Genomic DNA, 14,751 nt, shown 5'->3' on the forward strand with positions numbered 1-14,751 from the left:
CTCCTAAACCCTAGCCACAGGAAAGACTTGGCCAGACTTTTCTGGAATGTAACTTGGCAATTTGTATTAAGAATCTTAAAAATATCCATAACTTTTAGCCCCATTTCTGCTCAAATAAAATAAACAAAAATGCAAAGACGTATGCACAAGTATCTTATGACAGTGTGACTTCCAACAGTAAAATATTGGAGACAATTTAAATATTTAACAATGGGGGCCTGGTGTAGCCCTACCATGGAATAGGATGTGCCCATTTAATGATGTCTCTGAAGAGTTTTTAACAGCATGACAGCATGCTTACCTTATCATGTCCTGTGAAATACCAGAATAAAATGTACATGCAGTAGAATCTCAATTACATCCAAAATACGCATTATAAATCTGGAAGAAAGTAAGCCAAAATGTGGAGTATACTTGGTAGCATTTCTCCCTACTTTTTAATATTTTTTTAGTAATATCACATTTTTTATCATAAGGAAGTATCCTAAAGGCAGAAAACAACAAATAAAGTAGCAATGAAGTTCTGAGTCTTTCTGTGACTGTGTGACGACAGTGTCTGAACAGTTATCCCTCCGGCAGTGACGAGCAGCCCCTTGGACATGTTCCAGTCCCAGTTCTTCAGACTTCAGAAAGTGGGGAAGACTCCGTGGGGGAAGAGGAGGGGTTGCTGATGTCATGGTGACAACGTGGAGTGTGGCACACCTACAGGTCTTGATGGGCTGTGTGCTGGGCACTCCGGAATCTCATTTAATCCCCCTAGTGGATAAGGAACACTAAGTATTGGAGAGACAGAATGATTTACCCAAGGCCAGTGTGTAGTAAGAGGTGCGGCTGGAATTCCAGGTGAGATTGGGAGACTCCAAAACCTGTGCTCTTAATTCCAGCCCTGCCTGGCCTCCTGGATCATGCCCATGGTGGGTGAACTGGGGGCGCTGGCCCCCACGCTGCCATCCTGACTTGTCAGCCTGTTTGCTTCCTCCTCTCTGTTGTGATTTCCTCAAGCTTGTTATTAAATAACAAGCATCCTTCCTGCGTTTTCTCCTGGAATTCTCATCCCACAGTGGCCTAAGGGGAAGGCAAACTGTATGCCTGTGCATAGGAAGCATGACCGCGCCATCCAGCCTCCTTCCAGTAGCAGTGGATGCAGCCTTGTTAGGGTGATTCTGACCCCTTGTTCTCCGTCACCTCACAAGGCGTAACGACAGGGGACAGCTGCAGAGAGAGATGGAGGTTGGCATTCAGAAGCCTTTCTGACAGCAAGAGTGAATCAACACAAAATGAATCACACAAAGACACCATTCACTGTCTCCCCAGAGAGCCTGGAGAAGAAATGCCTGCCATTTGTGTAGCTCTTTTTGATGTTCAAAGCTCTGTGGCACACAGCCCTCCTTAGGGTCTCACAAGAACTCCCTAAGAAAGACAAGACAGGAATTACTTCCCTTAGGAAAGGAAACTGAGGCTCAGGGAAATCAAGTTACTTGCCTCCCGTCATTGGTGACTAGGTCAGTCTTCTAACTTCCTCTTTATCCCTTCTTACTCCTTCTGCAAACAGTACGATGCTGGGCAGAGTGGAAGATCCCTTATTGTCTCACCCTGGGGCAAGGAGATGGGCTAGATCATTCCTAATGCTGCTTCCTGCCTCAGAAGATGAATTTGCCTACAAGAGGTGGGCCCTCCATGCTTATAAATCCTTCTCCTTCAGGTTACCCCCACCTAGTGAAAAAGATTTACACAAGGCAGAAAGTGGGTGGAAGCCATTTGGCCACTCATGATGTCTTATTCTAGAGGAGGCCCCCTGAAGTGAAGGTGCCACAGCATTACTGCAGTTCAGCAGACATTTACCAGCATATGCCAGTCACTCTACTGGAACTGAGGAGAGAGAAAGCCAGGGAAAAGGTTGCCATGGGTTGAGTCAAAAGAACTCATTCTAGGCTCAAAAGGACAGGAGCGCTGGTTCATTAGGATGCTCAACTTCCAACTAGCAGACTGGGCACATGTCCTAGAGAGGAATTGTGCTGTAGTGAGGCGAAGTGGGCTTGGATGTCTGGCAAGTCATGGTTCAGATACTGACTCCAGCCAGGCACGGTGGTTCACGCCCATAGTCCCAGTGACTCAGGATGCCAAGACAGTAGGATTTCTTGAGGCCAGGACTTTGAGACCGGCCTGGACTACATAGTGAGGCCCCGTTTCTACAAAATAATATTTTTTTCAATGTTGACTTTATTTCTTAGCTGTGTGACTTCCAGCAAATTCTTTAACTTCATTGAAACTCAGTTTTTTCAGCTATAAAATTAAGAGAATAAATAAACTGTCCCATTGTATGATGCAAGGATTAAATGAGATGACAGCAACTAAAGGCCTGCCACCATCAACTCTTGGCAATTTATTTCCCTCCTAAATTAGATAGAAATGTCATGGTTTGGGGTTTCCATTGTGTGTTCAAGAAAGATAAGACCGTAACGCCTTTCTTAAATGTCTAAGCTTCATTATCAGAGCTTCTTGCACGTTCTCTTTAAGCTTTTCCCCCATAGACCTATCCAATGGCCCCAGGCTGAGGCACCCATTCCAGGGACTCCCACGCCTGCTTCCAAGCTAGCAGTGGCCTCTCATGAGCCTCAACCCTATTCTGAGATGCTCTGGGTTTGGAGGTTCTAGTATCTCAGCCACACATAGTGCCATTTTACCTTGTCCCAGCTGGCCAAAGTGTGACTGTGATCCCCTGTCTTCCCCCTCACTCACCCGGCAGCCTCATCTTGGCTGCTGGCGATTTTAGGCTGGGTTCCACAAGTGGCCCCAGTGATTTATGATCCATAACTCAGTGGTCTCTTCCGCCATGCCTGCAGGCTCCCACCTTCCGGAAGTCACTGGAATTTAAAACACCATGAAAACAAACATCTGTGATTTACGATGTCAAGAGCCATTTCCTTCCTCTTGAGACAATCTCCAGGGTGATTTTCTTTAGGTCATCTGCTCTGTAGAGCATATTAGTTAAAAAAAAAAAACCTTAAACATAATGTAGAAAGATGTGCAGGTATGGAAGACAGAATGGCAGCACCTTTCCACGGGTGGCAGCCATCAGACAGAGCAGGACATGCACAGCGTGGCTCCCTCCTGTCCCTGGAAGGCAGGTCTGCTCTGTTCTCTTCTTTCACATGTGTCTACTCCCAGCCTTTCCAGGTGCAGGACAGGGCAAGCATCAGAAACACTGGGTGAGGGACCGGCCCTCCCTTTGAGTGCTTCCTCCCTGCACATCTGAGTCCCATCTGTAGACCCAGAGTGAGGACATCTGCCCAACCTCCCTGCAGGCTGTTGTGAGGTCAGCAGAGGCCCAGAAGCCATGGTAACTTCTATAGGAGAGACGCAGGATGAAGAAAGTTGTTGTGACTTTTGCCCAGAATTGTCAAGAATACTTCAAGTGGTATAGATGTTTTTCCCAAAAAAAAGTAAGGCTGAAAAAAATCAAGGCTGATCCTAAGGCTGTTCAAGTACAAACAGTTTGCAAGTAATGGAAAAAGCTATAAAATTTTAATATAGGGAGACCTCAAAGCCTTGAAAGGAAATATAAAACAACTCCAAAAAAAAAAAAAAAAAACAAACCCTAAGCATCCTCTTTGTTCCTCAGTGAAAATTTCCTTACTATTTTAAGCCACATTGATTCCCAAGAGAGAAACTGGCAAAGCATGGATGGAGAAGCTTCATTTCCCTACCACTGCTGTGAAAATACCCTATGCTAATTTAAGGATATAGAATTTTCTAATAAAAACAACCAGAGTGCACTAGGCACGATTATTCCAACCTATCTTTCTATTGTATTGGTCCATCTACTTTGCCGATTTCCAAAGGAATTAGAGACGGCTTTATTACATTTAAGATAATATGAAAGAAGACAAGTATAGCCCCTCTTTGATTTTTATGTTACACATTGGGCAGTAGGTTTTTAAAGAGCCGTGTTTGACTCTGTCCTATTTTGGGGCCCAGGTACATGATTCCTATTTTTAGCAACTCTCTGGTATTGTGAATCTGAGATTTCAACCACCAGTGAGTCAGAAGGTCTGGCTGCCCAGAGATATGTGACTCAGACAGGCAGGAATAGTCTGTTCACCATGAGATGAGGGCTTAAAGGGGAGCTTTTGTGCTTAGTGAAACACGCAAATGAAAACAACCGTTTAAATAGGAACCTATTGCCCTTCCGGAAGGCTCTTTGCCTGTCCCCGAAAATTCTCAGCTCACACCCAGGGAAGAGCTGGTGCTGCTAGCTGGGAAATGAGGCCAACCCCCTGGCTACTTCCTCCTCTTTAGGGGCCCTCTAAGGCATCTGGGCGGAGGTTTCTGGGTGGCTTCAGCCTTCAGAATTAACACAACAGCCTCCTGATGGGCAGCAGTGGTGGGAGAAAGGAGCGAGTGGAGTGCCATGTCGGGCAGGGTTGGGACACAGGATGAGATACTACTCTTTTAAGAGTAAGACACCGCAAGAAAAGGTGGCTTCCCCTGGAAAGGTGGGAAGCAACAGATTGGTGTTTTCTTGATTAGAAATGCTATGGAATTCATTCATCCATTCACCATCCATCCATCCATCCAAACAACCAATGCATATGGGAAGCTGGCTACGTCCTCGGTCCTTTGCTAGGTACTAGGGGACTGGTTTCCATCCTCGAGAAGCCCACAGGCTTGTGGGAGGAAGATAAGCAGGTAGAGAGGCAGCCTGGCTGCAATGCCCTTCCAAGACCAAGGTTTTGGGATTCCAAGTTTCTGAGGTGTTCTGCATGGTCAGTAGTCCCTGAGAGGCCCTTCCCCTGTAGAACTGAGTGAGCATTCAGGGTAAACCTGGCTAAACACAGACTAGCCAGGACCATTGTTTCTGGCCGTATGAACACCCTCCTTTTCCTTTCCTCCAGACTTAGACTCCTTTTGGAGCCAAGCACCCCAAGACTGTAGGCCTTCTCTGGGCGTGAGCCTGAGGGTCACAGTGCTCACCAGCCCTCCAGCCTCGCCACAGTGAAGATGCTTATCATGGAGGCTGGGATAGTTGTGTTTTTCGCTGGTGTTTAGATGTTCCAGTGTTCCATGAAAGCTCCTGAATCTCTTCCCTAAATAACAAAGTCCTGTTTGGTATTTGGTGAAATGTTTGGAGTGCCGTGTTCAACCAAGCTGAACTAAGCTGCTGACAAAATACTGTCTCAGCCCTTTAATAATAATAGCTAACATTTGTATAGCACTCTACAGTTTAACAAAGCACTTTAAATGCACCCAGCCCCTTTGAGATGCGAGGGCAGAGTTATCATGTGCGTTTCACTCAGGAAAAGTGGGCTGCCCAGAGGAACTGAGTAACACCCTCCAGGACCCACCACTGGGGAGGCCAGAAGCTGGCCCTCCTGAACCAGGCACTTTGCCCTTGGCCACCTTCTCTGAAGCCTGTGGTGACCACGCCTCCTCCTCTGACTTCAGGTTTGGTCTTTGCCTCTGGTCTCAGCCCCCTGTAGTATCCCACAGGCAGCCCCCAGGCAGATCTCCTTAATTGTCCCCTTTCTCTGCTTCAGCACCTGGAATGACTGTCCCAGGATTAAGTCCACACTTCCAGCCTGGAATCCCCTCTCTGCACAGCCTGGTCCTATCCCAGGACCCTACACTCCCCCTCACTACCCCCAGCATGCCTTTCCTACAGCCAGGCAGGACTTGGCAGGAGCATGCCACGCCAACTTTAGACCCCAGTGCTGGCTACATGGGGGGAGGAGAGGGCAACTCGTTTTTTAACTATTGACCCCTCCTTGATGTCTGGCAAGGGGCTAATTAGCAGCAAACGTCTTCTGAATCAGTAAGTCAGAGAATCGGTAAATGAAGAAAACGGACATCTGTATAGGCATAATAGCATCCCCATGCAGTCCATAGCAAGAAGAGACCCCAGGGTGGGCGCCTTGTGCACAAGGGTCTGTCTGAGATAGATGCCAAGGCCAATGGACACATGCCGTCCACAGGTCCTGGCTGTGTGGCTCAGGATGCACTGGAGCCAAAAGTGGCTGCATACCAGAAATGTCCCCCCACCCCCACCCCCATGAAGCTGATACAGCTGGAACCATGGTCCCCCTCCCTCCAGTCAGTGACACTGACCACCGGTGGCTCATCTCAGCTGTTCTTTTGGCAGATGCCATTCTTTTGCTCCCCAGAGACTGGGTGATGTCTGAGAGATAGGGTTAGGGTTGGCAAGGTTGGTGTGAAGTGGGTAACTTTGGAGCAGCGAGCGACCCGGTATGCCTGTGCATCCAGGACACAGGGCCCAGGAAGCATGAGAATAGCAGGAGCCTTGGAGGAGGTGCCCTTGGGGGTGGAATAGGGCTCTTGAGGGCTTATCCTAGGCCCAAGGAAATGAAGGGAACTTCTTTCCTTCTTGTCCCTTTCCCCCAACACACCCCCAAGTTGAGCTAGCATACCCATCATGCTAAACAGGTTTAACAGGTTTTATGATCCAATCTGATTATCTTATTATGAGTTACAGATTGTTTTATAGGAAAAATGCTTCCCCCCATATCAATAATAGCTTCTCTTTTAATTTAGAGAATAATTTCAAAATTATAATTACACAAGTACAGTCACGAATTGCTTAACAATGGGGATACATTCTAAGAAATGCGTTGTTAGGTGATTTCATCATATGTGAACATCATAGAGTGAATATACACAAACCTGGATGGTTGAGCCTGCTGCACACCTAGGCTATATGGCGTAGCCCATCGTTCCTTGGATTCCGTACAGCATGCCACTGTACTTCAGTACTGTAAGCAATTGTAATACAATGCTAAACATATCTAAACATAGAAAAGGTACAAAGTACAGTATAAAAGATTAAGAAAGTGGTTTGCCTGTGTAGGTCATTTACCATGAATGGAGCTTGCAGGACTGGAAGTTGCTCTGTGTGAGTCATGAGTGAGTGGACATGACTGCACACTACTGTGGACTTTATTAACAGTGGACTTAGGCTACACTAAATTTATAAAAAATATGTTTCTTCCTGCAATAATACGTTAACCTTAGCTTGCTATAACTTTTTTGCTTTATAAACTTTAATTTTTAACTTGATGACTCTTATAATAACATGTAGCTTAAAACACAAACACACAGCTGTACAAAAATACTCTCTTTATATCCTTTTTTCTATGTGATGTATTCTATTAAAAATTATTTTATTTTATTTTTTGCTTTGTAAATTTTTTGTTAAGAAGTAAGACACGCGCACATAGTAACCTAGACCTACGCAGGTCATCAAGATGTCATGAGGTGATAGGAATTTTTCAGCCTCATTATAACCTTATGAGACCACCATTGTGTATGTGGCCTGTTGTTGACTGCAGTGTTATGCAGCACGTGACTGTCGTACATAGTCATTATCAAAAAATTAAGGGCAGATTTTTAAAGAGCAAAGAAGTTCATTCAAAATCTCAGACCAAAGGGATACTACTCTCTTTTATGTGTATATCCTTCCAGTCTTTACCATGCAAATATGGAAATATATTTTTTTAAAAAAGAATCCTACTACACATATTACTATGTACTTTGGTTTTTAAAAACTATATGTAATGACTGTCCTTTTGTGGCATTAAATATGAATCTGCAGTATAATGTGGAATCCTGTGAAGGTGTCCTGGTGTTCATAATTCATCTGCTGTTTGGTGAGCACGAAGCTGTTTTCACAGTTTCAGCAGCACAGTGAAGAATAACTTTATTCTTCTATATACAACTTTATAATGTACATAATAACATATATATGTAAAATAAATAACTGTATTCTATATATACCCCTTTTTGCAGATGTATTCTAACAGAAGGATTTATAGGTGAAAAGTTATGTTTTTTGCTTTATTTTGCCAAAAGGCACTTAAGAAAGCCTGTCCAAATCTGGATTCTCAGCAGCAGAATATGAAAGTTTCTGACTCCTCACACCCATGCCAACAGGCTGAGCATTATCTTTATTAATCTGAAAGGAAGAAAACAAGTGAATGGGACATAGCATTGGGAAAATGCTTTCTGAACCCACAATTACTCTTCTAAAACACAACCCAAGTGCCACCTGTACAACCTCTAACAAAACATGGCTGAACCCAAGCTGGGGCATTCTTATTTCTACCTGTAGTTAAGATAAAATTCTGATCAACAGAGGGATCCGGAGGGTCCCTGGAAATGTATTGAGAGGAGATTGATTTGATCCATAGCTGAAGTTTCCTTGAAAAAAGACACTGGCTGGGTGTGGTGGCTCACGCCTGTAATCCCAGCACTTTGGGAGGCCGAGGCTGGCAGATCACGAGGTCAGGAGATCGAGACCATCCTGGTTAACACGGTGAAACCCCATCTCTCTAAAAATACAAAAAAATTAGCCGGGCGTGGTGGCGGGCGCCTGTAGTCCCAGCTACTCAGGAGACTGAGGCAGGAGAATGGCGTGAAGCTGGGAGGCAGAGCTTGCAGTGAGCCGAGATTGTGCCACTGCACCCCAGCCTGGGCGACAGAGTGAGACTCCGTCTCAAAAAAGAAAAAAAAAAGACTTGGCCTTTTAATGAAATACAGCGATACGGCAGTAGGCACCTTCAACACTCCCTAGGGGGAGTGGACATGAACGTTTTTGCATGTAAGACTTGGTCGAAAGCCCTGGTCCAGGCCTGGATGTGCCACTTGTTACCCTTGTCACCTGGACAGGCCTCTTCCTGTTTTCACCTGCGGTGGCTTGGGGCAGTGAGGGGAGTGCTGGGGCACTGGTCACACAGATCCTGGTTCCTCCCTGCATCCTGGCTGTGTGACTGGCAGGCGATCTGCAGAAAGATTGTGTCTCTGACCCCTGGGATAGCGTGAGGATTAGAGCACATGGTGCGAGCTTGGCACTTGGTCATTGTTTTCCTTTGGCTCTTTCCCTTTTTCATCTGTTCCAGCGAGGGATTAAACTATCTGATGTCTAAGAACCCCATGAGATCCAATTTCCTGAGGATTCCAAGGCAGCCCAGGTGAGGCCCTGCTCTTCTAAGTATGAAGTTCAGAGTCGCTGTGGAATCCCCACTCTGGGAGGCAGTGCTGTGCGGGCCCTGCGTTTCACACAGGTAGCCACAGGCCCCTGTGCACACCTGAGAGGCAGCCTCCCGCGGAGCCCTGCTGGACTGTGACGTTATCCACATGCCTTAGCAGATGTCTGTCATTGTCTTCTTGCCTTTGTGGGTTTGTCCTCTGTTTAGAAAAATGAATTTCCTGAGGGCAAGACCAGGTTCATCATCTCCTCTGACTTTTGCCTGCCCTCAAATAAGTCTGGAACTAGTACGAGCACGTGTGACGGACCCTCATTCAGGGGTAACTGACTGGTTGATAAGGAGTTTGACTGGCAAGGAAGTGATTTCAATGGGTCAGCCTCTCTGGCCCTGGCTGTGATGATCTGTTTACCGCAGCTTAACCTTAGTGGATTTCAGCCCATCGGCACAACCCACATAGCCCCATTCAGCTCATGGCTGCATTTAAGGCCCACTGATAGCCTCGGATTTGGGGAGTGTTAACCCCATGCTGCTTGGGTATGCTTCGACCCAACCTCACGGGTTAAAATCATGATGGTGAGGTATTACAGGGCCCAGTCATTTGTTAGGAAATAAAACCAGACTGTTTCCAAAGAGTAGAGAAATAGGATGACTCATGAAGTATTAACCACTTAAAAACCCTCCTTAGGCATGTCTTCCCTTGGCTCCCTTGAGCGGTGTCACCCGACAGATTGCAGTATGATTGTCATTGCTGTGTTGAAGTTACCCACCCTGAACTCATGCTGGGTATCCTCAGTCAGGGCATCGTTCTGTTTGTTTCTACTTTGTGCACATAACTGGTACCTTTTCTTTTCCCTGCCCTGTCTCGTCACTTATAATATAAAGGGAGTTAATCCAGCCACTTGTATATCCTGAGTCCTTTTTGTGTATCCAGCACTTTGTAAATTTACTATAGGCATTCATTCATCCTCTTCCTCATTCAATCCACAAATATTGAATATCCACAACTGGCAGGATAACAGCCAGTTGCTTTGAACAAAGAGTTTCTTTCTAAGCCCATGAATGTGACTATGCCTAGCACAGTGCCTGGCACACTGAGGTGCCCAGTGCATTTATAAAAAGCAACTCTCAGGGTTCTTGACGGAGCTGTGTCATACTGAAGCCCCCTGGCCTAGATAGATTCGCCTGGATGAAACACTTCCCTGCCTTCTTAAACAGAATGCATTGAATTTACTTTCATCTTTTCCTGATGCCTCCAAGCCATCATTTTGAACATCAGTGCTGCAGTAGGATGATGTGTTGCTTCTGTTTTATTGAGGTATACCAGTTCTTTGCCCTTAACGTTAAATCAGCCTGAGTGTTGTCTTTGTGAGCCCTTGTGTTTGATTTCTGTAGTTTGCCTCCTTCCCAGCAGTGAAACTGAGGATGCTTATTTTTTATTCCATCAGTGAATCTTTGTGATAACAAGCATCTTACATTTATTTAGCAGTTTTCATGTGCATTATTTTATTTAAGCCTTATATCAGCTCTGCAAGGCAGATAGGATCATTTCCAATTTGCTGATTAAAAGAGAAAAAACAAACAAGCAAGCAACAGACTGAAGCTTTCAAGAGCTCAGCAACCTGCCAAAGATACATGGCTAGAAGGAAGACACTGGGATTCAGGACTGGGTGTCCTGATTCTAGGCTGGGACTCTTTCTGTGCCAACATCCTTCTTCCCTTTAGCAACTCCCAACCTTCTTTCTAGTTTGGTACTGGTAATCTGCCACAAAGCTTGTTAAAATTGGGCGCAAAATGACCAGGTGAAGGTTTAAGAGTCTCTCCTTTGGAGACAGTGTTTGAGATTTAGTGCCTGGGTTTTGTGGCCTCTCTCTATTTGGCTGTTCACAACCTTTTTCTTCTCTCTGTCTGAAGTGTAAGCAAGGAGGAAGGGTAACAGATCGAATTGCCAGATTTAACAAAAAACAAAACAAAGAAACAACAGAACAAAACCAAACACAAGATGCCCAGCTGGATTTGAATTTCAGATAGACAACAAATAATTTTTTGTAAGTATATCCTAACTGTTACATGGAGCATACTTATACTGAAAAAAAAATTATTTGTTGTTTATCTGAAATTCAAATCTAGCTGGGTGTCCTGTATTTTATCTGTAGCCCTAATACCAGGACTGTGGCTGGGTGGGCAGTGTCTGATCTGTAATGACAGCAGAGTCTTCAGTAAGAGTGGGGGCTGGGAAAATAAATTAATGGGTTGCAGAATGTATAGTGTTAATTAGATAATGCTTCCTGGAAAAGACGGATCTTGAGCTATTATTTACAGGGCAGTAGGGAAATGATGTGGCCGCTAGCTGCAGAAAGAGCAACTCATATGAAAAAGAATGGCAGACCGGAGAGGCCAAGGCTCAGAGACACATGCACACACCAAATAAGGGTCTGTTTACTTTGACTGTAAAAGTGTATTACTTTTTGACTGCAACAATGTTTCATCTCCTGCCTAACATAATGACCAGTTTGGTTCCTGTCCTGGAAATAGAGAAAACGGTGCCACCTTCCCCACACACTTGAGTTGATCTGACATTGATAGTTTGAAAACTTTGGTTCCCCCAGGCAGTAAATTTAAGGAGCAACCCTGTCTTGAAAACGGAATTAGGTTACCAAAGACTTCCGGCAGTTGAGAATTTCTTGAAATCCAGAATATCATATTTTCCCAATAATGCCTTCTTGCGATCTCACACATCATGCTTTTAAGGCCGATTGCTACTACTGTTAGGAAATTTACCTGTGATGGTCTCAGGTAATAGAAGTTGTGGATAAGTTGAAAATTGCCAGCCTGTTAAATGGAATGATGTAGCAAAGAAAGGGCATTCTTTTTGAACACTTCCTCCAGGTGTGTGAGCGTTTCACACTCTGCATTTTCACAGTATCTTTGTGAAGGTAGCTCTGGGTTCTCTTGCACCCTGGAGAGGTAGGAACATGCCTAGTGCCCTCCTGTGAGTCTGTCCCCTCTCTTCTCTTATTAGGGGCATTTGCATTACAAATCCACAGACCAAGCAACTCTTTTTAAAACATTTATGTTCAACTGCTTTTTTGAGTGCTTATCATTCCAGAGAATGTGAAGATACATGGCCCAAAACCTCCTCCCTCAATAGTGTCTTGAGTGCGGAGTCTGTGGGCTGTCCTGGGATGGGCCCTCACCTTGCTTTATTCCCACAGCACACCTCACTCCCAGATGAGGATGTGCGCCTATGTGTGTCCCTGTGTGTGTGGAGGCTGAGACTGCAGGCACTTGCCCAATGCCCCATGTAGCACCACTGAGATTCAAGCTCATGTTTTTTTATTTGAATGTCATACTTTCTACTTGCCAGGTTACTCCATCAAAACAGTGATAACAAACCAGGACAGGGCAGATGGTGCATAGTGGTGGCAGAATTGGACAGATTTAACTGTTTCTTTAAGAAATATTTACTTTCTTGAGCATTTACTGCTGCCCTAAGAGACTAGCTTTGGGGTTTTCCTAGCTTCGCAGAAGTGTGGACGTTGATTCCAGCTTTTCCCAAACATTTTTGGCCTTGAAATGAAGCTGGGAACCATACTAGATCAAGCTCTCTGGCCGTGAGCCCCATGTCTGTGGGTTTGAATGATCTAGAGAGGAACTGCATGCTCAATCAGAACCAGCAGGAAGCTGAGCAGGGTTAGAAGGCTCAGTCCCTCTGAGAGTAGGAAGAGGGCATACCTCAGGAGCTTGCCAAGTGCGCAGAGGTGAAAGGGAATGTGAGAGAGTCTATGGGGCAGGGGTGACATTTGAACAGGGAAGGATGCTGTGGCATAGATATCAAGGCTCGAACAGGCAGCTCCCCCTGTACGCCAGGCATTAACTGGATTGGTAGCTGGATTGCGAAGAGGTCCAGGAGCCCTGGAAGGAGGGCCACAAGGTGGAAGATTCTCGGTGAGCATAGGGCAGTGGCCACTAACCAACTGGTTCCAAAGTGTTTTAATGATGTAAGTGCTTAGTTAAATATTAAATGCTTTATTACACATACTAACTCAGTAACTTTTACAAATAACCCGGAAGTTAGATTTTGTTAATATCTCCATTTCACAAATGTTGAAACTGAGGCACTGAGTGATTAAGAAACTTCTCTAAAATTGTAGCTAGAAAGTGGCACGGCTGGACTGGAACCATCTGTTTAACTTTGAAGGCTGTGCTCTTAATTACAAGGTGACTTTTGTCTCCTTATGCAAATCGCCTGTTACTGTCTCTGCAGGTTGATCTAGGCTGGCCACTAGAAATAGTTCACTTCAAAATGATGACATGGAGGTGACTGAATGGGGTGGGTCATATGGTACAGCCGTGATCATCTGTCCCTGAGGTCCTAAAATGGAGTATGGTGAGATGTTTATGCTTTTGAACCTTCATGAACTTTTCCGCTCTTCCTTGGGCCAAATTCCAAGGTCCAGGACTTGGAGGAAGGGAAGTAGAAACCCACTCGCCTCCTCAGGACCCTGCCTGGCTACATGAAACCCCCATTAATCACCTCTGACGCCCGGGCTTGGTCTGTGAAGGAACGTGGGCCGTATGGCAGTGATGGGAGGAGGCTGAGATAGTGCTGAAGATGCACAGCCTCTGTGTTCCATTTAGAACCGCTGAAGCTCCCCAGGTGCACCAGGAGCCTTCCCAAGACCTGGATCCGCTGCAAGGTGATAGCCGTGGCTTGGTTGTCTGTGGGTGGAGCCGAGGAAGGCAGAGGTGTGCGTGTGTGTCTCTGTGTGTGTCATCTCTGTGTGTGTCTGTGTGTGTCTCTGTCTGTGCATCTCTCGTATGTGCCTGTGTCTCTATGTAATGTGTTTGTGTGTACATTTCTGTGTGTCTGTGTGTCTTTGTAATGTGTGTGTGTGCCTATGTATGTCTCTGTGTTTGTGTGTTTGTGTGTCTATGTCTGTGTTTGGGCAAGACTGTGTTCCACCCCCTTCCCCAGGCTTGGGACAAGCTCACATTCCACAGGTCCTAGAGGAAATGTTTTTGCTGTCCAGGGCTTTGGGACAATGGGCTTGCTATGTTTTAAATTTTGGGCCCCAGGAAGAGAGTTGCCCCTGTGTTAGGATGGCTGTGGCTCAGTCACATACTCCCCCATTTCTCTTAGCCGGCCCCAGTGTGTGTCCTGGGGGCGTAGTCACTGCCCTTCCAAGCCTGGAGAATGACTGCATCGTCCACCGTGATGAAGTACAGGCTTTGCCAGGGCTTAGCAGGGGGAATTGGAAGGCCTTAAAAGGAACATTTAGAAATCAGGAGTCAAACGTGACTTGGACATTAAAACTTGATTTTGCATCCAGCTCATGATAAGCATATAGCAGCATATACACAAATACATACAAAGCAGTGTGTATGTGGCAATCATTTGGTGCCTCACTCACCTCCAAGGCTTGTTAGGGGTGCCATGATTTGAACCATCTCACCTCTGCATTTTTGCTGGTGTCTCCCTCTTCTCAGAATGCTAGTCCTTTGTATAACCCTTTCCACTGGCTGGGGCCACAGACCTTACAGGACTAAGAGGCCATCTGACCCCCTTTCAATGAGTAGGGTGCTCCTCTTTGTGTAGGATCACACCGCAGTTTTAGCCTGTCTGAACTCTTGTTATAATTCTTTGCTCCCCTATGTTCCTGGAGGGCAGAGACCAAGCCTTGCTCCTTGTACTACCTCCAAGGGTATGTGAGCCTGCCATGTGTATGCAGCTAGCATCTGAATGGATGAATGA

The 14,751-nt window shown here is 45.7% G+C and overlaps 1 protein-coding gene across 55 annotated transcripts in view, besides 1 other annotated feature; it reads left to right on the top strand.

Annotated features, from left to right (window-relative positions):
* Nucleotides 1-14,751, top strand: part of CACNA1C (calcium voltage-gated channel subunit alpha1 C) — a 727,171-nt gene that overhangs the window by 361,669 nt on the left and 350,751 nt on the right. The gene's annotated exons all lie outside the window — the stretch shown is intronic.
* Nucleotides 5,014-5,514: an enhancer, noted in NCBI's record as "H3K4me1 hESC enhancer chr12:2446628-2447128 (GRCh37/hg19 assembly coordinates)". NCBI's record gives its function as "activates a minimal SCP1, AML or CMV promoter by ChIP-STARR-seq in naive H9 embryonic stem cells {active_cell/tissue: H9 hESC(naive)}" and the evidence as "EXISTENCE:reporter gene assay evidence [ECO:0000049][PMID:30033119]".

The sequence above is a fragment of the Homo sapiens genome, chromosome 12, assembly GCF_000001405.40.
Source record: "Homo sapiens chromosome 12, GRCh38.p14 Primary Assembly".
Taxonomy (NCBI): Eukaryota; Metazoa; Chordata; class Mammalia; order Primates; family Hominidae; genus Homo; species Homo sapiens.